Source organism: Homo sapiens, chromosome 12, assembly GCF_000001405.40.
Source record: "Homo sapiens chromosome 12, GRCh38.p14 Primary Assembly".
Lineage (NCBI taxonomy): Eukaryota > Metazoa > Chordata > Mammalia > Primates > Hominidae > Homo > Homo sapiens.
Window position 1 is genome coordinate 8,180,090 of NC_000012.12, and position 23,922 is coordinate 8,204,011.

The 23,922-nt window shown below is 44.1% G+C and overlaps 1 long non-coding RNA gene and 1 pseudogene across 1 annotated transcript, besides 4 other annotated features; one reads left to right on the top strand and one right to left on the bottom strand.

Moving 5' to 3' along the window:
- FAM66C (family with sequence similarity 66 member C) lies at positions 120-20,911 on the top strand. The gene is made up of 8 exons (NR_026788.1): positions 120-663; positions 7,643-8,136; positions 8,383-8,556; positions 13,431-13,566; positions 14,114-14,392; positions 14,624-14,707; positions 16,168-16,429; positions 19,619-20,911. It is a non-coding gene; the product is annotated as a family with sequence similarity 66 member C (long non-coding RNA).
- Positions 159-288: an enhancer, noted in NCBI's record as "active region_5930". NCBI's record gives its function as "activates an Ori minimal core promoter by ATAC-STARR-seq in GM12878 lymphoblastoid cells {active_cell/tissue: GM12878}" and the evidence as "EXISTENCE:reporter gene assay evidence [ECO:0000049][PMID:35858748]".
- Positions 439-558: a silencer, noted in NCBI's record as "silent region_4208". NCBI's record gives its function as "represses an Ori minimal core promoter by ATAC-STARR-seq in GM12878 lymphoblastoid cells {active_cell/tissue: GM12878}" and the evidence as "EXISTENCE:reporter gene assay evidence [ECO:0000049][PMID:35858748]".
- Positions 439-983: a biological region, named in NCBI's record as "H3K4me1 hESC enhancer GRCh37_chr12:8333169-8333668".
- Positions 484-983: an enhancer, noted in NCBI's record as "H3K4me1 hESC enhancer chr12:8333169-8333668 (GRCh37/hg19 assembly coordinates)". NCBI's record gives its function as "activates a minimal SCP1, AML or CMV promoter by ChIP-STARR-seq in primed H9 embryonic stem cells {active_cell/tissue: H9 hESC(primed)}" and the evidence as "EXISTENCE:reporter gene assay evidence [ECO:0000049][PMID:30033119]".
- Positions 19,510-23,922, bottom strand: part of DEFB109F (defensin beta 109F (pseudogene)) — a 19,313-nt pseudogene continuing 14,900 nt past the window's right edge.

Consider the following 23,922-nt stretch of genomic DNA (forward strand, 5'->3'; position numbering starts at 1 on the left):
TCTACCCCTGAATTTCAGTGATTCAGACTCAGGTCCACCGCTAAGGCCAAACGTCCTGTGCTGCCACCTCATGGCAGGCAGAGGGCAATGAAACTCATCTTTCCGGCCATGCAGGGCGCATGCGCGGTCTGCCTCCCGCGGCGGGCCGGGTCTCCAGGGAGGACCTGAGTTTTTCTTCACCCATGGTCAGGGAGGCGCCATCGCCCTGGCTTTGGGGCTGGGGCCTCCGGGGAGGTTCCGGTAGGGGCGTTGGAGAGGCCGCTCTTTTTGCAAGGCCCGAGATGGCGGGCCCTGCGCAGGCCGCCCTATTCCGCGCCCTCAGGGCGTCAGTATCCGCCTGAGGCCGGATACCCACTCTGGGCTCGGATACCCGCGCTGGGCCCGGAGCATCCTCGGCGCTGCCCTCCCAGAGCCCCGCAGAGGCTGAGGTGGCGCGGGGGCGGCCCCGGCTCCGCGAGAAGAGGCGGCAGCGAGGGCTGGAGGACCCGGGCTACGGGGCTCCGGGGCGTCTGGCCTGGGTGGGACTGAGCCCATCCAGGGACTGGGACTCCGGGGTTCTGGTGTAGGTGGATCCCGGGCAGGCTCAGGACCAAGACCCTCTCCTTCCACCAAGGAGCGCCCAGAGGCCGGCGGGAGCTCCAGGTTCACCTCCTCCTCCTCCAGGTGTTTACTTTTCCTTTATTTCTGTGAGGCCAGAAATTGTCGCCATCCTTCACATCGGTGAATCGGGACCCTAACACTCATTACCTCAGGTTTATTGTTATTGCCATTAACAGTGTTGGTGGCATTATCACTAAGATCATCATTGTTGTTATTATTGTCATTTATGATTATTAGCAGGTGTGTTCATTTTGTCTCACTATGCATTTTTTTTTTTTTTGGGGGGGATTGGTTTTGTATGACGTTGAATTGAGCTTCTTTAATCTTGACCAGTGCTGTCAGATTTCTGAAGAGCATTCCGGAGGACAACTCCTGTCTTTCAGCACAGCCACAGAATTTCGTGGGCACAGGAGAGCACTTAGAATATTCCCCTTTCATTGCACAGCAGCTTTGGGAAATAGTGGCTGCCTGGCTCTGAGATGAGGTAGAAAAGACTGGATACTGGGGCAAGTGTTAGCACCTCCACTGGTGTTTTTATGAAGCTAAGCGCACTGTCTCCCACGTAGACTTAGAATACAATCTGATGGCTCTAAAGGGCCATGGCTGCCCTTCCTGGGACTTCCTGGGAACCTTTAAACCTTCTGTGGTTCCTGGAGTAGGTAGGTTGCCAAGTCTGTGCCTCATATGGTAGCACCAGTCTTTTCTGGGCCAACAAGGACACTTAGAATGTTTCCAGAAGCTCAGGCATGCTGTCTCTGTTCCTCCCTTCTGTTCAATGGCAATTCACTGGGTCCCTGGCTGACATAGAACATCCTGCAGAAGGTTGGGCTTGGGTGACTTCCTGGCCAGCCTTCCCAGGCAGTCATCTTTGAAAAACTTGAAGAGACTCACAGAGGCCATTCACTGGTATTTCATGACTGCAAGTGGGGTTTCTGGATCCTTGAGTTTACTTAGAATATTTGAATGGCTCTGGATGGCCAAGAAACCCTCCCTGGTCTTAGAAGCTGCCAAAAGCTATTACTGGGCCTCTGAAGAGACTTTTAAATTTTTCCAAGTACATTTGGGCATAGGAAACTTTTCCAGGTCTAGCTGAGCCAGCTCAGGTCGAGTCCTGAAAAACTGGTGGGTATTGGGGGATCTCATCTTACGAAAGAGCAATTGGTGGCAAAGCTGGGTCTCCAGGACAGCTGTGTATGTATATGTCTGTAGAACATGCCTTGTTGGACATCTTTGGTAACTGAACACCATTTGTGAATGGATAAACTATATTCATTGCTGTACAATAATGAAAAATCCATATTAACAATGGCAGTAATAAAAATATTGATGGCTATTAACAGGAATAATGATCATCATGATACTAGTACTAATGGTTTTAATACTGATAATAATACTAACCCTATGGACTTGGGACATATAAGTTTTCCATAAGTGGATAATAGGCATAAATATTTGGCTGTGTAGGGTTATTTCAAGTCCCAAAAGCAAGGATGAACATCTAGAACGAGAAGAAAAACAATCTGGAGGTTAGTATGTGCACACCTGTGGACTCCTGTGTTAACTTCTGGTGTTTCAGCCTAAGAGGGAATGTTAATATAACCCTGGTCCTAGAACACCATGCTGACCAACACCTACCAGCTTTCAGGAGATAAGACAGCTGGCTGATGGGGCAGGGATCCAGAGAAGGCACGGGTCCACACCTGCACATGTTGCCCAGTGGCAGAGTTCATGACAAGCAATAAGCCCCAGGACAATGTCATTCCCAGCTACCTGGCTGTCATCTGCTCTTTCATGGCCCCTCTCTACTGGTACCTCTAGGCACTGGCATGTCCTCCAGAGGCTGCAGGAGGGCATGATACTCAGTACTCTCCCAACTGCAGGAGGGAAGAAAGATGGAAACAGCTAAATACCATGGCTTCTGGATTTTTTTTGCTGGGCATGGCATATTTTGCATTTGCTTTAATAATGCTGGAACCCAGTCAGTGGCTTGCAATACAGATCTAGATGACTCTGGACACCTGTAGAGATTTTGACAATTTCCAGAAGGTCACAAGTTCTTGGAGGACTTTTTCATGAGTTCTTCGACTGAAAAGGTGGTTCAAAGAGCTTCTATACTGACTTAGAAAATGTTGCAGAGGCCAGGTGCGGTGGCTTATGCCTGTAATCCCAGCACTTTGGGAGGCCAAGGCAGGCGGATCATGAGGTCAGGAGTTTGAGACCAGTCTGACTAACATGGTGAAACCCCCTCTCTACTAAAAATACAAAAATTAGCCGGGCATGGTGACACACACCTGTAATCCCAGCTACTCAGGAGGCTGAGGCAGGAGAATCGCTTGAACCTGGGAATCGGAGGTTGCAGCGAGCCAAGATCAGGATTCCAGCCTGAGCGACGGAGCGAGACTCTATCTCAAAAAATAAATAAATAAATAAATAAATAAATTAATTAATTAATTAATTAAATAAAAAGGAAGAAAAAAGAAAAGTTACAGACACTCTGGTGAACAGATAGGCCCTCTCCTGCCACTCCAGGTAAAAGTTTCTTGGCCACAAACCTGATTTAGCAATATCCCTTCATCTTAGGTAGGTAACAGAAAGCCATTCATGACCTATCCAAGCATGGAGAGGGGATTTGACTTAGAAAAGTTAGGTGGACTAGTTGGTGAAAGAAAGTGCATTCTGGCTCTCCCTCTCCCTCTCCCTCTCCCTCTCCCTCTCCCTCTCCCCATGGTCTCCCTCTCCCTCTCTCCACGGTCTCCCTCTGATGCCGAGCTGAAGCTGGACGGTACTGCTGCCTGATTCTCCTGCCTCAGCCTGCCGACTGCCTGCGATTGCAGGCGCGCGCCGCCACGCCTGACTGGTTCTCGTATTTTTTTGGTGGAGACGGGGTTTCGCTGTGTTGGCCGGGCTTGTCTCCAGCTCCTAACCGTGAGTGATCCGCCAGCCTCGGCATCCTGAGGTGCTGGGATTGCAGACGGAGTCTCGTTCACTCCGTGCTCAATGGTGCCCAGGCTGGAGTGCAGTGGCGTGATCTCGGCTCGCTACAACCTACACCTCCCAGCAGCCTGCCTTGGCCTCCCAAAGTGCCGAGATTGCAGCCTCTGCCCGGCCGCCACCCCGTCTGGGAAGTGAGGAGCGTCTCTGCCCAGCCGCCCATCGTCTGGGATGTGAGGAGCCCCTCTGCCTGGCTGCCCAGTCTGGAAAGTGAGGAGCGTCTCTGCCCAGCCGCCATCCCATCTAGGAAGTGAGGAGCACCTCTTCCTGGCCGCCATCCCATCTGGGAAGTGAGGAGCGTCTCTGCCCGGCCGCCCGTCGTCTGAGATGTGGGGAGCACCTCTGCCCTGCCACCCCGTCCGGGATGTGAGGAGCGTCTCTGCCCGGCCGCCCCATCTGAGAAGTGAGGAGCCCCTCCGCCCAGCAGCCACCCCGTCTGGGAAGTGAGGAGCGTCTCTGCCCGGCAGCCACCTCGTCCGGCAGGGAGGTGGGGGGGTCAGCCCCCTGCCCGGCCAGCCGCCCCATCTGGGAGGGAGGTGGGGGGATCAGCCCCCCGCCCGGCCAGCCGCCCCGTCCAGGAGGTGAGGGGCGCCTCTGCCCGGCCGCCCCTACTGGGAAGTGAGGAGCCCCTCTGCCCGGCCAGCCGCTCCATCCAGGAGGGAGGTGGGGGGGGTCAGCCCCCCACCTGGCCAGCCGCCCCTTCCGGGAGGTGAGGGGCGCCTCTGCCCGGCCGCCCCTACTGGGAAGTGAGGAGCCCCTCTGCCCGGCCAGCCACCCCGCTCGGGAGGGAGGTGGGGGGGTCAGCCCCCGGCCCGGCCAGCCGCCCCGTCCGGGAGGTGAGGGGCGCCTCTGCCCGGCCGCCCCTACTGGGAAGTGAGGAGCCCCTCTGCCCGGCCAGCCGCCCCGTCCAGGAGGGAGGTGGGGGGGTCAGCCCCCCGCCCGGCCAGCCGCCCCATCCAGGAAGTGAGGGGCGCCTCTGCCCGGCCACCCCTACTGGGAAGTGAGGAGTCCCTCTGCCCAGCCAGCCGGCCCGTCCAGGAGGGAGGTGGGGGGGTCAGCCCCCTGCCCAGCCAGCCGCCCCGTCCGGGAGGTGAGGGGCGCCTCTGCCCGGCTGCCCCTACTGGGAAGTGAGGAGCCCCTCTGCCTGGCCACCACCCCGTCTGGGAGGTGTACCCAACAGCTCATTGAGAACGGGCCATGATGACAATGGCGGTTTTGTGGAATAGAAAGGGGGGAAGGGTGGGGAAAAGATTGAGAAATCGGATGGTTGCCGTGTCTGTGTAGAAAGAGGTAGACGTGGGAGACTTTTCATTTTGTTCTGTACTAAGAAAAATTCTTCTGCCTTGGGAACCTGTTGATCTGTGACCTTATCCCCAACCCTGTGCTCTCTGAAACATGTGCTGTATCCACTCAGGGTTGAATGGATTAAGGGCGGTGCAAGATGTGCTTTGTTAAACAGATGCTTGAAGGCAGCATGCTCCTTAAGAGTCATCACCACTCCCTAATCTCAAGTACCCAGGGACACAAACACTGCAGAAGGCCGCAGGGTCCTCTGCCTAGGAAAACCAGAGACCTTTGTTCACTTGTTTATCTGCTGACCTTCCCTCCACTATTGTCCTGTGACCCTGCCAAATCCCCCTCTGCGAGAAACACCCAAGAATGATCAATTAAAAAAAAAAAAAAAAAAAAAAAACATTAAAAAAAAAAAAAAGTGCATTCTGGGGCTCACAGGCCTACACATAGAGTTGCTATCACATAAAGCATATGTATGAATTCTTTCTGAGCCCATGGCAAGATGAGGGTGCACTTCATCAGTCTCCTATGCTGGTATGAATAGGTACTTGCCTGAAAAATAAAAGAATAATTCAGGAAGCCCATTCTTCTACAGGACACCAGGCAGTACAGTAGGAGTCCTGGGGTTGCTGTGGTATTTATGTTTTAAGGTTGTCTTTTAATCATCTTCAGCAAATTCAACAGTCTTCAGGAACATAAAAAAATTATTCAACATTGCATAAAAACTACCACAAATATATCCATGATAAAGAACTGTACCAATATAATAATAACATTAATAACAATCATAATGGTGATGATATAAATGTCAATTTAATGAAGAGAGTAATAAAAAAGCAGATATTTAAGAAATATTCCTGTAAGCCTGTGGCAATATTCCCATACGAGCCCTCATGTTATTGATTAGATGGAGAAGCTTAGGGCTACATCTTGAAATATATTCTGTGATGGCAAAGAAGAGTGGCAGTAGGGAGAATAATTCTGAGCCACATGAGAGCATGGGCAAAAGTGGAGATACCTGTGCCATGTGGAAATACATTACAAATGGACTATGGCAAAGGGTCTGGCCAGAGTCTTGCCTGACACAGGTCGTACAAAAGCCTTCAGTAGTTCACCCCAAGAAATAGCTGGTCCAGGCTGTAGATGAGAGGCACTGGGCAGACAGATCCACACCTGCCTCCTGAGTCTCAGAAGTCTGGTGTGCGTCGAACATTAAGCCCCTAGCCTACTGAGACTTCACCTCCCAGCTGGTCTTCTACCATCTGATTCTTGAGCCCCATCACGTTAGTGTCATCTCCATACTGGAATTGCCAACAATGTCTGATGGAGGGTTTCACCCTGGGTACTTGGTACCAGCAATGTATGAAATACCAGAAGGGAGGCTCCAGGGCTTCCATAGAAGACACATTCTAAAGTTACTCAGGTGATCAAATGGTCATTTCAGAGATTTTCAGTAGAACTGCAGCATTTTGTCAATACCTGAGTGAATGCAGAAAATATCCAGAGGCACGGGCATTCTAGGAAGCTCCCTGTGTAAATCAAATACAAGGAATATCTACTTCTGGGCTCAAAAGCTAACTTAGAGAAAAAAAAAGTGAGATGCTGGCAGAAGGCAAATAACTCCACTTCAGTTCCCAAGAGAAAAATCGTTCTGTAACCTCTGAGTTTATTTAGAAAAATTTTGGAGCCTCAGGAAGACCGAGTATATCATTCCTGATGTTTCCAGGACAGATTGGAGAGCTTAGGCCTTTGGGAATATTCTAAGTCCTCTCAGGTTTCCATGGGAGACTGTAACTCTACTCCTAGAGCTCACACCACCCCCGAGCAAGCTCATTGTTTTCTAAATATTCCAAGGAAGCCCATCCAGGTTATGCCCGTATTGGTGAGTTTCACTTTGGACTGGCAGGAGAAGACTGAGAATGATACATCCTGAGTTCACTTGGTAAAGGTAGGGGAGCCAATAAGTCCAGATCTGGAGAGCACCTGCAACACCAAATGGCAGAAGGACAGTAAGGAAGTAAAGTCAGCTATGGAGTTGGAGCTTCATGTTTACTGCATGTAGGATTCTGAGTTCCAGGACTGATGGGCTGGTGGGGATCAGAGACGTGTCTTCCTTGCAGGGAGCCAGGCCAAACCAGCCATCTGGTTGCACTACTGAAAGCTTTTGTGTACCCAGTGGTGGGCAGGACACAAATCACAGTCCCTTCATCTCTGGCTGGTAGTTCTTGATGAGAGAGGTTTGCACACAAGTGTTCATATTAGCCCACGGTCTCCTGCGGCTTGCTTTTCTTTCACCTCCTGTTTTTGATGTTTGCCATCATGGAACACATTTCATAGAGAAATTCTTTGACTCTGACTCCAAATTACACAAGGAGGACCCAATTTGTGAAGTCTTCATATATTTAGGGGAAGCTCCACATTAATTCTTGTATCCTTATGTTCATATTGTCACCAGTATTAAAATTCATACTATTTAGGTCATTGCGTTCATTATCATGATTATTAATTATTTTTCATTTATCATTTCTTTTTATTGGTTAATTTTTGTGGCAGCTGTTAGATAACAATCACTAGAGTTTCTCTATTCATGAAAGATGTCCAAGTTAATGGAGATCACTAGGAGTGTTACTTTACAGGTATGTAAATACAGATAATCTTGGCTGAACTGTGGCTATATTGTCTGGTGTCCCTTTGAGGGTGAAGCCTCTTGTATTATTCTAAGTGACCTCTGGAGAAAGCAACTGTCTCATAATTGCAGGGACGACTTGAGAAGGCATCCTGACCCTATGCAGAAATGCAGAAACACTTCCATGAGCTAAACAACCTATGTGAAGGCCTGAAAGCCAAAGCAAGATCCTCTTATTACAAAGCTGTCCAACAAAAAGTTTTCCAAGTAACACTGGAGGTCCATCACTCACTCTTCCTGGTCTGGAAATGCCAGAAATGTCCTCCTTGGTCCTTCTGAGAGTCAAGATCTTTTCAAAGTCACCTCAGGAGCCACAGAACCACTCCATCCTACCTGAAATTGCAGGATGACTCTTCTTTTGACCAGAGTCTCAAAAATATATTCGTTGATAATTTTGATTCCTGGGAGCCGCCATTGCTTGCAAAAGATGTGCCAGGGACTAGACATTTTCTGTCTCCTCACTTGTCCGGGGAAGACTGAAGTTTTACTGAAACACAGAGATGGGAATCTGACCCTCTGAGCAGCCTCAGGATTTTCTAAGTCTTCCAAGCAGAGTGGAAATACTGGTGAGGACCCATTGCACCCCCTGATGGTCTGGAATCACATAGGATGATGCTTTCAAACAACTCTAGGTGGCGATACATTTTCTGAGATATTCCAAGGAGGAGGGACACAATTGGACCAGATGTTAGAAGGACAGCTGAGCATTAAGTGCCTGTGTAGTGTTTGCAGCTTAGTGTCCCATGCAGAAGGGGAATCTGGGCCCTGGTGTTAGAATTCAGTGTAATTCTGGGTTCCTGCTTTCCTTCCAGGAAATCCCACTTCCAGCTGGATGTCTGGATGAACTCCTGAAAGCTGCTGAGTGTCCTGCAGCAGGTGAGCTGTGGCCAGAGCCCAAGGATGAAGGGGACTCCCTCACTCTGTGACTGTGAAGAGGAAGCCTGAGGTGTAGCAGGCCCAGGCCCCAGAAGTATGGAAAAAATGAGGTAGGGAGGGAGGGGACCTCAGGAGAAGACTGAGGTCTACAGAATCCCAGGGTCAAGGGGATGGTGTGGTGTCCTGGCACTGTCCTTGATGTTCCAAGAGGGGTGAGAATCCATCTCCTGAGTAAAAACTTCACATGGGGTGAGGAGGGGAGAAGTGAACAGAGAGGAAGCAGGGAAGGCCAAGACAGCCACCAGCCTTACAGCAGTTTTAACCAGAAATGGATGCAGACTCTGGACCCCATCACAGGAGTGCAGGCCTAGGACTGTCTCCAGGTGATGCATAGCTCCCTTGTCAGGTTAGTGGGTGCAGGGATTGTGACGTCTGCAGGGGTGTGGAAGGCTGAGCAAGGGGAGCAGCTTACTGGGCTGGACCAGAAATACTGAACATCTTTTCCATCAGTGAAATCCGCTTCTGGGTCAGAAAAAAGTGCGAGTTCTAGAGGGGCAGGGCCTAGGAGGAGGTCAGGTCCTGAGCCTTCCTGGTTTGACCACCTCCCACCCCCTGTGTTTCTGGGTCTGTCCTCACTTCCACCCAGCGGATCCTGAGTCTCTTCCTTTGAGTCCCTGTGAGTGTGTTGTGTGCAGTGGGGCCGGGCTGCTTCATCCACTGCAAGTTAAATGCTTCCAATACTTTCCGGCCAAAGCTTAGAGTTGTCAGACCACTGACTTTGAATGTTGACCTGGTTCCTTGTGGAACAGAGTAATAGCTATTGAAGTTTAAAGTCACTTTCCTGCGTGGATGGTGAAGAGGCAGGCTGTTCAGGCATAACTGCCCTCAGGCCTGGAGGGCTGTGGAGGTCACCGTGGGCGGTGGGTGGATCCGGAACCTCTGTGGCTCTAGACTTTCAACTATTTCATTTTTTCTTTTGTAGTTTTTGTCTGTTGCTTGCTTTTTTACAATGGGAACTAGAATGTAAGATGCCAAACTCAGCCTGTGGGGAACATGGATTTTCACAACAGCAACCACAGAGCGTGGTTTCCATTTCTATTCCCTGTTCATGTGGGAGGCAGAGAAGGAAATCAGGTGCTCAGTTCCAGGGACATCACAGGACTAGGACATGTGCAGTGAGGGTGGAAGGCAGAGGCATTGCTTTAGGAGAATAAAATTACTGCATGCACACACATATGTATGTATATGGATGTATGTACACAAACATGCATATTTATAGGTTCTGTTCTCCCTCTCTCTATATAATTTTCTTTATTTCACACTTGATATGATTTCTAAATTTAAATACCTTTGAGACAAATGTGAATTGTGAAGGGATTTAAAAATGTCAGTGAAAAATGGAATTAACAATAAAAATATAAATATAAACTTTGTTTCTCAATATAAGCTCTACTGAGGTCCAGACACTCCATTAAGGGATGATCCCAGCCATTCAGTCCATTGCTAAACAACTGAGGGTAACGGGAATTTAACCTTGTCAATGCAGTCTTCTATTAGTAACTAAAGAAAAACGGGTGCCCTTTACAGTTATTTTAAGATTAGGGAAAAAAAGGTCAGAAGAAACCAAATCAGGACTGTAATGTTGATGCCTAATAATTTCCCATGAAAACTCTTGCAAAATTACCCATGTTTGATGAGAGGAAGGAGCAGAAGTGTTGTTGTGGTGCAGAGTGACTCTCTAGTGAAGCTTTACAGGGCGCTTTTCTGCAAAAGTACTTGCTAATTTTCTCTAAGAACTCTCCTAGTAAGCAGATGTTATGGTGCTTTGATCTTACAGAAAGTCAACCAGCAAAATGCCTTGAGCATCCCCAAAACCTCCATGGCTTTTGCTTTTGAGAAGTTTGCTTTTGCTTTGACTGGACCACTTCTACCTCTTGGTAGCCATTGCTCGAATTGTGCTTTGTCTTCAGGATCTTATTGATAAAGCCAGTTTCACTCCCTGTTATAATTCTTCAAAATAATGCTTCAGGATCTTGATTCCGCTTGCTCAAAATAGCCACTAATAGCTCTGCTTTTGTCCACTGCTGATCTAGGCACAAGGGTATTTGGGACTCATCAAATGTAAAGTTTCTCAGCTTTCACGTTATAGTCAGTATTGTGTAAGCTGAACCAATTGAGATGTCTGTGGTGTTGGCTATAATATCTCTTGTTAATTGTCAATCCTCCTCAATTAGGGCATAGAAACGATTTTTTTTTCTCAAAAATTGGTATGGATGTCCCTCCTCTGTTGACTTCATCTTCAACATTGTATTATCTCTTCTTAGAATAAGGTATCCATTTGTAAATGACTGATTCTTCAGGTCATTTTTCCCATAGACTTTTCATAAAGAATAATTTATTTCACCATTTTTTGTACCCCAGCTTCACCGTAAATTTGATGTTTGTTCTTGCTTCAGGTTTGACAGAATTCATGTTGCTGCCATAGAGGGTCTCTTTTCAAACTGATGTCTTAAATCTTGTTCAGATATGTTAAAACAGGGCCAGGCATGGTAGCTCACACCTGTAATCCCTGCATTTTGGAAGGTTAGAAAAAATAAAGTTTTTTAAAACTTTATTTTATTTCATTTTAAGTTCTGGGATACATGTGCAGGATGTGCAGGTTTGTTACATAGGTAAATGTGTGCCATGGTGGTTTGCTGTACCTATCAACCCATCACCTAGGTATTCAGCCCACATGCATTAGCTATTTATCCTGATGCACTCCCTCCCCACTCACCCCAAGACAGACTCCAGTGTGTGTTGTTCCCCTCCCTGTGTCTATGTTCTCTCATTGTTCATCTCCCACTTGTAAGTGAGAACATGTGTGTTTGGTTTTCTGTTCCTGCATTAGTTTGCTGAGAATAATGACTTCCAGCTTCATCCATGTCCCTGCAAAGGACATGATCTCATTCCTTTTTATGGCTGCATAGTATTCCATGGTGTATATGTATCACAGTTTCTGTATCCAGTCTATCATTGATGGGCATTTGGGTTGATTCTATGTCTTTGCTATTGTGAATAGTGCTGCAATGAACATATGCATGCATGTATCTTTATAATACAAGAATTTATATTCCTTTGGGTATATACCCAGTAATGGGATTGCTGGGTCAAATGGTATTTCTGATTCTAGATCTTTGAAAAATCACCACAGTCTTCCACAGTGGTTGAACTAACTTACATTCGCACCAACAGTGTAAAAGTGTTCCTATTGCCCCACAGTCTCACCAGCATCTGTTGTTTTTTGACTTTTTAATAATCACCATTCTGACTGGCATGAGATGGTATCTCACTGTGGTTTTGATTTGTATTTCTCTAATGATCAGTAATGTTGGGCTTTTTTTTCATGTTTGTTGGCTGCATAAATGTCTTCTTTTGAGAAGTGTCTGTTCATGTCCTTTGCCCACTTTTGAAATTTTGAAATTTTTATTTTTTAAGACAGAGTCTTGCTCTGTCACTCAGGGTGGAGTTCAGTGGCACAATCTTGGGTCACTGCAACCTCTGCCTCCCAGATTCAGGTGATTCTTCTCTCTCAGGCTCCTGAGTAGTTGGGATTACAGGCCCGCACCACTACATCCGGCTAATTTATTGTATTTTCAGTAGAGACGTGGTTTCACCAGCATTGCCAGGCTGATCTTGAACTCCTGGCCTCAAGTTATCTGCCCACTTCACCCTCCCAAACTGCTGGGATTACAGGCATGAGCCACTGTACCCAGCTTTTGCCCACTTTTATATGGGGTTGGATTTTTTACAGTTTTGGGTTTTACATTTAAGTCTTTAATCCATTTTCAGTTCATTTTTGTATAAGGCATAAGGAAGGGGTACAGTTTCAGTTTTCTGCATATGTCTAGCCAGTTTTTCAAGCACCATTTATTATTAAATAGGGAATCCTTTCCCCATTGCTGGTTTTCATCAAAAATAAAATGGTTGTAGATGTGCAATCTTATTTCTGATATATCTATTCCATTCCATTGGTCTATGTGTCTGTTTTGTACCACTACCATGCTGTTGGGTTACTATAGCCTTGTAATATAGTTTGAAGTCAGGTAGCATGATGCCTCTAACTTTGTTATTTTAGCTTAGGATTGTCCTGGGTATATGTGCTCTTTTTTCATTCCACATGAATTTTGAAGTAGTTTTTTCTAATTTTGTAAAGAATGTCCATGGTAGTTTATGGGAATAGCATTGAATCTATGAATTACTTTGGGAAGTATGGCATTTTCATGATATTGATTCTTCTTACCCATGAGCATGGAATGTTTTTCCATTTGTTTGCGTCCTCTCTTATTTCCTTGAGTAGTGGTTTGCAGTTCTCCTTGAAGAGGTCCTTCACTTGCCTTGTTAGCTATATTCCTAGCTATTTTATACTCTTTGCAGCAATTGTAAATGGGAACTCATTTGTGATTTGGCTCTCTTCTTGTCTATTGTTGCTGTATAAGAATGCTTGTGATTTTTGCACACTGATTTTGTATCTTGAGACTTTACTGAAGTTGCTTATAAGCTTAAGAATCTTTTGGGCTGAGATGATGGGATTTTATAGATATAGGATCATGTCATCTGCAAACAAAGACAGTTCAACTTCCTCTTTTACTATTTGAATATGCTTTATTTCTTTCTCTTGCCTGATTGCCTTGGCCAGAACTTCCAGTACTATATTGAGTAGGAGTGGTGAGAGAGGGCATCCTTGCCTTGTGCCGAATTTCAAACGGAATGCTTCCAGCTCTTGAATATTCAATATGATATTGGCTGTGGGTTTGTCATAAATGGCTCTTATTATTTTGAGATATGTTCCAGCAATACCTAGTTTCATGAGGTTTTTAACATAAAGGAATGTTGAATTTTATCAAAGATCTTTTCTGAGTCTACTGAAATAATCATGGGGTTTTTGTCTTTAGTTCTGTTTACATGGTGAATTACATTTATTGATTTGTGTATGTTGAACCAGCCTTTCATCCCAAAGATGCAGCCGACTTGATTGTGGTGGATGAGCTTTTTGATGTGCTGCTGGATTCTGTTTGCTAGTATTCTATTAAGAATTTTTGCATTGATGTTCATCAGGGATATTGGCCTGGATTGAGCAGGTATGTGTGTGTGTGTGTTTCTACCTTGGTTTGCCAGTAGGTTGATGTGTGAGTGTGTGTGACTTTGTGTGTGTGTGTGTGTGTGTGTGAATGTGTGATAGAGAGCCAAACTAGAGCAGAGGAGGTTCCCTGGCCTGCCATGACATTAAATGTTCTGAATTCAAGATACCAAGAGAGGCATGAGACCCACAGTTGAAACTTCATGATGTGGCCAGGTTTCAGGGGTTTCTGGGAGCTGCCAGTGGGCATGTCTCAGGCTTGCTCCCACTGACAATCCATGTCTTCTCTCTAAATGGGAGATGGCTCTGTATGGAGAACAGGCAACTGAGAGCATGATGTAAGGGTTCCACCTCATACTCACTAGGAAAGAAAACAGTTTTCATCATCTCTCACTCCATTCCCATTGTAAATCTATAGACACAGGGGTCAGTTACCTGAAATGTTAGCATAGGTAAAGTCCTCAGACCAAATTAGATGTCCTACCTTCTCATGTGGATCAGATCCTAAAAATACAACTGCTTCCTGTGGTCATTATCTTTTATCACAGGCCATTTCCAATCCAGAGGAAGACCTTCTAGAAGAAGTGATGGGTGGGAGAGTGCTGACATACTATGCAAAGCTACTATTTGGAGTTGGACACGAGTGCATGTGACCTTGTGCCACAGCGGGAATGTGAGCTGGATGACAAATGGAGATTTGGACTTGTGATAATTGGCCTCTGTGTCATTGTGTGGAAGACTGACTGGTCCCTTTATTTCCTGTAGCTTGACTACCACACAAATTAATCCACTCAAATGTTGGCAAGTGGAGCAGAGTCCCAGGACAGGTAAGGCACTTTCCCTGCTTTTTCTTAAGATCAATCCCCATGCCTAGAAATTAAAGTCACATCCCACACAATCATTAAAGTAGAGAATACATTCTGCAGGATGAGTGAAAAGGCATTTATGATTCTTGGGGGCAGATGTTCTACAGTTGCCTGTGCTAGTTCATGTCTTTCTGCAGATCACATTCTTAACCTCTAGAGAGTCTTGCAGGACCAGAGCCTTACCTTTCCCAGTCTGCAATCTCTACAGGTACAGAAACACCCCCAGTTCAAGGATCTTCACACCTGGATTTAGGCCTACACCTGCAACTACCCCAGGTAAGTTTCCTTGTTCTTCAATGGCAAAGTTTGGACAATGCTGTTCAAACTCCAGGCAACAAGCAACATCTAGGGAATGTGCTTTTAGGTAGGGTCAGCATAATATCCCACTCTGGGAGACATTTTTATTTTAAAGTTGTAGAGGGTGATGCTGCTGGCGGCTCCCTCCCAATCAGCACCATTTGCAGCCTCTTTTGAAGACAGAGAACTGAGGGCTGTCCTTCGAGTGGAGCAGTGTGATTCCAAAAAAAGAGATGCTCCTTGTGGTCCTGGGACCAGGGATAGGACTCCAGTTGAGCCTGGTGGAAGAGGTCCTCATCCTAGCCCAACGGAGAGCCATGCAGCTGAGCTTGGGCGATGTGGTCCACGTGGTTGTTTCTGAGTGTGTCCTGAGGTTCCTGGATGGCTTGCAGTTCCCTATGCAGATCCAATGCATTTTTTGCTTTTTTGCTTCTACAACCTGGAATTTATATGTTCAAGATGGAGCCATCTCAGCCATGACAACAGAGAATGTACCACTCTCACGTGAGGAAGAGGGGTAGGCAGTGCTCCTGTATCACCAGCTGTTAATGAGACCCTGAGGAAACCACATCATGGAGATCAGCCCTTCTCTCCTGTAAGGAACTCATCCTATGAAAGAGCAATTGGTGGCTGCAAGAGCTGTCTCTGGGACAGCTGTTCATGTCTATATCTGCAGGGTAACCCTCATAGTCATATGCAGTCATATCCATAGTCATATCTGGAGTCAGTCTCCAGTTTGACTGAGTGAATGGAGAAACTAAACATTTATTACTGAATAATAACATTAATAAACCATCTTAATGATAGTAATAATAAACATATTGATGAGTATTAACAGGAATGATGATGATTATTATGATACTAATATCCATAATTAATAATTTTAATATTGATAATACTACTAACCCCGTGGACTTGGGACCTAAAGAGCAGTTTCCCCTGACAATTATCCCGTATTTGGCCACATGGGGTAATATTGAGTTCCAGAAGGCAAAGATTAACATTCAGAAAAATAGGAAAAACAACCTGCAGGTAGGCGTGTGCACACATGGGGACTCTATGGATAAATACTAAAGTGACTCTTGTTCTGGATCTCCATGCTAACAAACATGCACCAGCTTTCAGGAGGTAGGACAGCTGGCTGATGGGGCAAGGCTTCTTGAAGACATGGCAGCAGTCAGAAATCACACATGCTGCCCAGCAGCAGAGCTCATGACAAGCAGTAAACCCCAGTGAAAGGACCTGGCTGCCCTTCTGCCATCTGCTCTCCCATGGCCTCTCTTGACTGGTACATCTAGGCACTGGAGTAACCTTCACTGGCTATAGGAGGGCATAATCCTCAGTATTCTCCCACTTGCAAGAAAGACAAAAATTACCTGAATACCATGGCTTCTGGGTATCCTTAGTGGGCTTAGCGTATTTTTCATTTGCTTTAACAGGCCAGTTATCCAGGCAGTGACTTTCTGTACAGCTACAGTCACCTCTGGACACCTGCGGAGACTTTAAAAATTTCCAGAAGGTCAGGAATTTTTGGAGACCTTTCTTATGGCTACGTTGCCTGCAAAGGTGAATCAATAAGCTTCTGAACTGACTTAGAAAATGTTGCAGAGACTCTTGTGAACAGATAGACCCTCTCCTGCCACTCCAGATAGACGTATCCGGGTCACACACACCTGATTTAACAACATCTCATTATCTCAGGTGAGCAACAGACAGCAATTTAGGACCTATCCCAGTGTGGATGAGAGATATTGAGTTGGCTTAGAAAAATGTTAGATAGACTAGATGGGGCAAGAAAGCCCATTCTGGGGCTCAAAAGCCTGCACATAGAGTTGCTGGCACATAAAGGGTATGTATAAATTCTTTCTCAGCCCATGAGATCAGGATGAACTTCATCAGTATACCATGCTGGTATGAAGAGATTATTGCCTCCAAAGGGACTCAGAATATTTCAGGGATCCTGTATTAGTCCATTTTTACACTGTTGTAAAGACACTACCCCACACTGGGTAATTTACAAAGGGAAGATGTTTAATTAATTCACAGTTCTGCATCGCTGGGGAGGCCTCAGGAAACTTACAGTCACGGTGGAAGGCAAGACAGAAGCAGGCACCTTTTTTCACAAGGTGGCAGGAGAGAGAAGTGAGTGCACAGAAAAAAAAACCTCCTACTTTTAAAACCATCAGATCTCCTAAGAATTCACTCACTATCATGAGGATAGCATGAAGTAAACTTCTTCGACACATGGCGATTACAGGTCCCTCTGTCGATGTGTGGGGATAATAATTTGAGATGAGGTTTGGGTGGGGACACAGAGCCAAACCATATTATTCTGCTCCTGGCACCTCCCAAATCTCATGTCTTTTATATATATTTCAAAACCAATCATGCTTTCCCAACAGTCCCCCAAAGTCTTAACTGATTCCAGCATAACTCAAAACTCCAAGTCCAAAGTCTTATTTGAGACAAGTCCCTTCTGCCTATCAGCCTATAAAATTAAAAAAAAAGTTAGTTACATCCACAATGGGGACCTCATGACCCTGACCAGTGCCCTATCCTACTGTGGCTCAACTGATATCCAAGATGCAAGACAAAGTCCTTTTTACTCTTTCCTCTAATCTCCTCTAGCAGAAGGAAGCGGTCTTTTTTGGAGCTGCAAGCTGTGCTGCCTGGGGTTGGGGGAGTGGTAATGCAAGTACTCCTTTAGCTGTCCTGGCTGGTGTCTCAGTAGGTTTTATGGCCACTCACCTCAGTACACTGACTCTGAGTACAGTACTATTGTGTCTGCAGTAGTGTATGACATGGAAAATAAATCTCCATTCTCCAAGACTCTTCTTGAGCATCAAGTCTGCCTGATTGTTGAGATATAGCTACAGACTTTCCTCGCTGAGCCTAGCATGCACATGTTCCTCTGCTGGAAAAAAAAAAAAAACCAAACAAGCCACCAAACAACTTCCCACAAGTGGAATGTTCTGGGACTCAAGGGGAGTCCCTGAAATTCTGATTACTGCATATGCTGCTGCTGCTTCTCTGGGTCTAGCTACCCAGTGGGGCTGCTGCACACTAGGCTGGTGCTCAAGAATGTCTGCAATGGACCCAGTGATGTAATCTGTCCTCAAGTCTCACAGCAGTGTGTATCAGCAGCTGATCAGATGGGGATGGCAGGGGAGTGATGTAGACTCTGAAAGATTCCTTGGTTATAAATAGTCCTAGTGTGTTGTGTATTGGATTTCTCAAATGCCAGTTGTAGTAGTAATGAACTCATCACATGGACAGACTCAGGGCCTCCTGGTTAGCCAGAGTGATGCAAGCAATGGTAACAGATGTGGTCACTCACAACTTTTCTCCTTCCTGGGTGCTATGTTATTCTACCTGCAGATGCTGTAAAGGACTGTCAGTAGGCCTTCAGCCAGGAGGTGGTGCTTCCAAAAGACTGCCAGCTGTGGTGGTAGTGGTGAGATTTGGACTTGCCTTATGTTACCCATGGGAGGCACTCTGGTGTCTCAGGAAATAGGTGGAGCCATAGAGCTTCTAAAAGTTTCTTCTGTTATTTGTGTTAATCTACCAGGGTAGGTGGTTGAGCAAAACCAAGTGGGAACTAGGTCAGGTAAGGTGATGCTCTGGCTCTCTATGTGTGGGACAAGCAGTGGATCCAGTGGGAATTGGAAGGCAGTTCTTGGGCCACTGGAGTAATTTTCCAGAGAGAAGTGAAGCTGTCTCTGCCTCTGTACAAGGAGAGTCCATATGAAGAATGGGGAGTAGCAGCTTGGTAGTAAGCCCCATCCAGCTCCCACACACTTGGCAAGGCAGGTCTCACACCCACAGTGTTCCACTGGGAGTAGCTAGCTAAGTTTCAAGAAGTCTGAGCTCAGAACTCAAAACTGACCCATACCATAAGCCTCTCCTATGGAGACAGCAACTGCAACCTTCAGGCCACACCCTTCCTGATCCACCTACAGAGCAGGGTCCCCCAGCTCCTGTGCTTGCTGCTGCAGCACACTTCCCACTCACCTCTCAGTTCTGGCCTGGGGAGTTTGTCCCCAGTCAAGATTATATCACACATTTCAGTTGGGAGGTTGTCTCAACCTGTGACCACCATCTGAGTTAGCTGGCAGACTTCTAGGAGGTCCTGTCTGAGGTAGAATCAGAAATGGCTTCCCTCCATTCTACCAGAAACTGGGAATGTGCTGGAGATTCAAAGCACATCCCAATGCCACTCCTCATATACTCACCACTCTTCCCTAAATCAGCTCCAGCGCTGAGTAGGGTTAAGGCCTTCCCTCACGGCCTGGATTGATAGGTTTCCCAGTGGAAGTGTATATCTTAGAGTCAGTTTACCCTCCTGTCACACCCTGGAAACTTACAATTTTCTGCCTAGCTTATGGTGTAAGCTGCATCCTGCTGTTTCTTTCAAATGGTCTGTGGCTTTTTTCAATTTTCCTGTTAAATTCCTGTGTAGCTTCTTGAAAGAAAGTTCACAGTGTGAGTCTCTACACAGCATTTTGTCTTTCCAAGTGCAAGAGGCAGACTAACAATGCCTTCAGTCCACCATCTTGGAAAACAAAAGTAACAGTTTTCTCATTTTTAAAAGTTTTGTTAAGATCTGTTAATGATTCACAAAGAAATAGTACTTGGGTATATTTGAAATTAGTATTTATTCATTTATGTTGATAAGTGAAAATGCAAGATGGTTATCAAGATGGAAGTACTTAATATGTATATTTTAATATTCTTAGATGCAGATAACTTCACTTTTGATGTATTTTTATTTTGTCTCAGTTTCATTTCAACTTACGTTTAAGGGGTTCTTGATAATCTGACATGATAAGTGGTGTTGGAATTGGCATTAAAATCCACCATGCTCTACAGCACTTCATCCTTCTTCGGCAGGCACCAATTTGATCTTCTACTACTTTGCAGACATCTCTTCTGCAAACACCAGACAAACTGAGACAATGAACTTCCGCAGGACCCAAAGCACCTCTTACTGCAGGAAAGAAGATCCAGTGAGATAGTTAGTCCACAAATGGAATGTCAATCCATAAACACACTTAAGTAACAGAATAAATTTAGTATGAGCGTTTTTATGTGGGAGCTCTTGAAATGGTTGCTGCTCATATGTCAGAGACATATGCAGTTTAAGAAAGGTAGCAGTTCCAATCCTGGTTTGGCCCAACAGTCACTGCATTTTTGGTGGGGAAAAGGGATGTGGGAGGAGATGGTACATCTTCATCTTTTTCTCTGGGTTTTCTGTCAGAAAGGGATGTTGCTTACTCCAGTGGCAAAAAATGCCAGTGTCTTCTGCCAGAGTGGGTTACTGAGGGCCATGGTGGTTCCACCTTGTGGCTGATACAGATAGTCCCTTTCTGCTTTTGTTTCTAGCCAAAAAAGATGTTTCTCGCATCTCAGGTATGCAGACTTCAGCAGCTGTTTTTTCTATATGGCTATTTTTTTTTTCTTTCACTCTCTCTTTCTCTCTTTTTTTTTTGTTGGCTTCACTGTGTTGCCATAGTTTCTTAAATGGTCCCTTGAACCCTCCCAGAGCTATTTTGGTTTGTACATAACTATCTATATATTTTTTTCTTGGGGGGAGTGTGTAGAGCTAAAGGCTGGTATATCCTGCTCCTGCTCCCCGAAAGTGACGTTATTCCCCCAAGCTAATATTTCAGGCTTTCAATTTATTCATGCTTTCATCTGTTTAAACATAAGTAGAAATTACTTTTTCTCTCCACATTTAGATTTGATCTATCTACTTTAATTGCTAATAGTGTCTTAGTCATAGAATAGATTAGTTAGAAAAAAGTGTTTTTGACATTATAAATGATTCTTTCAATTTGTGTCTAAAAGTGGAAAATACTAGAAAGCTTAACATTTATTATTGTATTCAGACCAGTATTTCCTCCAGATGACCTTTATTACAACAAAGATAATTTAATGAAGATCTCTCTAATGGTAAAGCTGATGGCTTTGTGCTATTACAATATCCTTCAAATAAAGTGACGATCTGGTGGAAAGAACAACTAAAGCAAGGATTAGGAAGAAAACAGTTAATACCTTCATTTTGGTCTCACTCTGCATTAAGAGTTTTCATTGTGTTAAGGATTTATTATACATTAAGTAATTTAATGTTCATTTAATAATAAATGGATCCTATTAAATATGATTTTTAAAATTATAATCACATTACTTTTATTCACATCTGTCTACTGATGCCATTCCTAGATGAGAATGATATAACATTATTTTTTTTTTCATTTTGCCACATCTTTACTTACTTAGGTTTATGCTGTATCAAACAATGTATGTGTGGGAGTAATGATGATTCAGGAATGCATGAGGAGGAGGTTTAAGCTCTTTAACCTTGAACAATTAAAATTAGCAACATAATATTGAAATACATACATAACACTCAAATGGTACTTTCAAAATAGTGTATATTTCCTCTGTTTATTTGTAGCTTTTAAACCCAGCTAGAAGCATTCTATTTCCTTTAGGCACCATAAGTCTGAAAGTCTGTAGTGAAAACTACAAGTAGTAAATGATACTAATTCATGTGCTCCCACCTGTGGAAGAATTGAATGTCTTAGATAAAAAAAGATGGTGCAATTGGTGTACAAAGTATCTAGAATACAATTTGGTGGTGGTTTTTCTGTTTCCATAGCAGAGTAACATATATAATATTCCCCTTTCATCAAGTTATTTAAATATGCCTTTGAACGGGGAGAATTGAAAATAATACTGTGAATCCTGGTAAACATTTTAAAATAATGAGAAGAATATTGCCTTTAAAAAGTCAAAATTTGTCTGATTACAACCCATATAGCAATTTCATAGCAAAACACTTCCTTCAATCCTATTAAAATCAGAAGGAAAAGAAGAATACCCACTGTCAATGTTATATTAATATAGTTCTAAAAGTTTTGGACAATGAAATATGTTGTAAGAAGAGAAGTCAGGGGAGACTTGAGCCCATTGTTTTCCCTCTCCTTCTATACCTCCCAAAATACCACTGGAATGTTGTAACATTTTGAAGAATCTATAGCAGTGTCCCAAATCATAGAACAGTATGAATACATCTGAATCTGAGATATCTCCGAAAGGTACAATATATGTGTGATTAGAATGAAAGAAAGATTTAGGCTTTTGGCCATGACTGCAAGTTAGCTGGTCTCAAATGACTGCTGCTATTGAACAAATACATTTTAGAGGATCTCTTTGAAACATTTCTATTCTTGAAAACGGTTAGGCAAGTTTTTAAAATATCTCCTTTTTCAAACACAAAAATAGTCTGTGAACTGGAGCTTGAGCACTGGGCACTTTGTATTGGCTAGCTGATGGAGGGGTGTGAGGGTTTCCCAGATCTTCTGGGAAGATCTGCTATTATCAGCAATGCTAATGGTGGTACTACTGACTCTTGGGCCATCAGAAATTCCAGTTCGTTAATCCTGGAACTTCTATATTGAGATAAAGCATTGAGTCAGTTTCACAGAGGAAGTTTGGATAATAGCATTCTCATTTCAGACCATAGAATGATGGCAGATTAAGGATGAGCAATGAGTTCAGTATTAAAAATGATCAGGTAAGCAAGACACCATGAATAAAAGTTAATGAAATGAATAGCACATTTAAATCTTTGAAAACTAAATGTATTGAAATTGTCAATGTGGAGAAATAATTAAGCAGCTGTGTATCGATTGTTTAAAGAAACAATCTACTATTACAAAGATGTAAAAACAATAGTAAAACAATATAGATGATAGAAAAAATGGGCAGGTCTCACTGGGCGTCGTGGCTCATGCCTGTAATCGCAGTACTTTGGGAGGCCGAAGCGGGCGGGTCATGAGGTCAGGAGTTCAAGAACAGCATGCCCAAGATGGTGAAAACTTGTCTCTACTAAAAAAAAAGTGTATATATGTATAAATTAGCTGAACATGGTAATGTGCACCTGTAGTCCCAGCTACTCAGGAGGCTGAGGCAGGAGAATCACTTGAACCCGGGAGGTGGGGGTTGCAGTGAGCCAGGATTGCACCACTGCATTCCAGCCTGGGCAACAGAGTGAGACTCTGTCTCCAAAAAAAACAAAACAAAACAAAAAGGCAGGTCTGAATAAAAAAAATTTAAAAATAAATGCAAGTTATTAATGATATATTAGATATAGGTAACAGGATAATTAGTAAAGAAAAAAATGCTTAAATGATATACCCAGAATGTAGCATGGAAACACAAGGTCTAACATTTATTTAATTCAAATATGGGGGGAGAGAAGCGTAAGAGGATTCACCGTTTCAAGAGAGTCTCAAAAGAAATTAGGAAAAAGTATAAATCCATGGATTCAAAGAACGTATTTCTAACAGATGATATAAAAATAAATTCACATTAGTTAAATTATAAATTATAAAACATTAAAACCAAAGACCAGACCATACAAACATTGAAAAAAGGGCAATTTATAATGAAATAATATTTATCTGATTATTATAATAAGGCAAAAACTAAAAATGAGTAAACTAGTATCAACAAATATTGAGAGAAAATAACTGTTAGTATAGAACTGGGTACTCAGTAATGCTGTCTTTCAAGAACAAAAATAACAATATGAAATTGACAGATAAAAACTAAAATTGTTCACTATCAAGAGATCTGCAGCAAATAAAATTTCAAAGGCTATATATCAGGAAGAAAGAATTTAACCCAAAAGCTGATCTCAGAGTCAACTTGGAATTCCATAAATATCACTAAACTGATGATAATAGTAATACTTTCTGACATGGGGGGATTCTGAAAAGAAGTGAACTTTTACTTTTGTTTAGAGTTTAGAAAGCTATAGAAAAATGCTCTTGCCCTGACCAAGAGAATAAGCTGGATAATCTATAGATCATAGATTTCATTTTAAAAGACAGAGCTGAGGTCTCAAAAAAAGCTAATTAACTTAAATTCAGAGTAATGAAGCCCTACTGAAAAAAGAACGGATCCACAGATGATTTGTGTGTACCTGAGTTGCAGCAGCAGAAGCAGGAGGAAGCTGCCCTTGATGGAGATAAGAAGGAAACAAGTGAACCTCAAGCAAATGTTGAAAGGCTGAATGTGGGCTTGTGATAGTTTAGCATCTGTAGGGGCCCAAACACACTCACTCACTCACTAATGCTTTAATGCTTTTCTTTTCTTTCTTTCTTTCTCTTTCTCTTTCTTTCTTT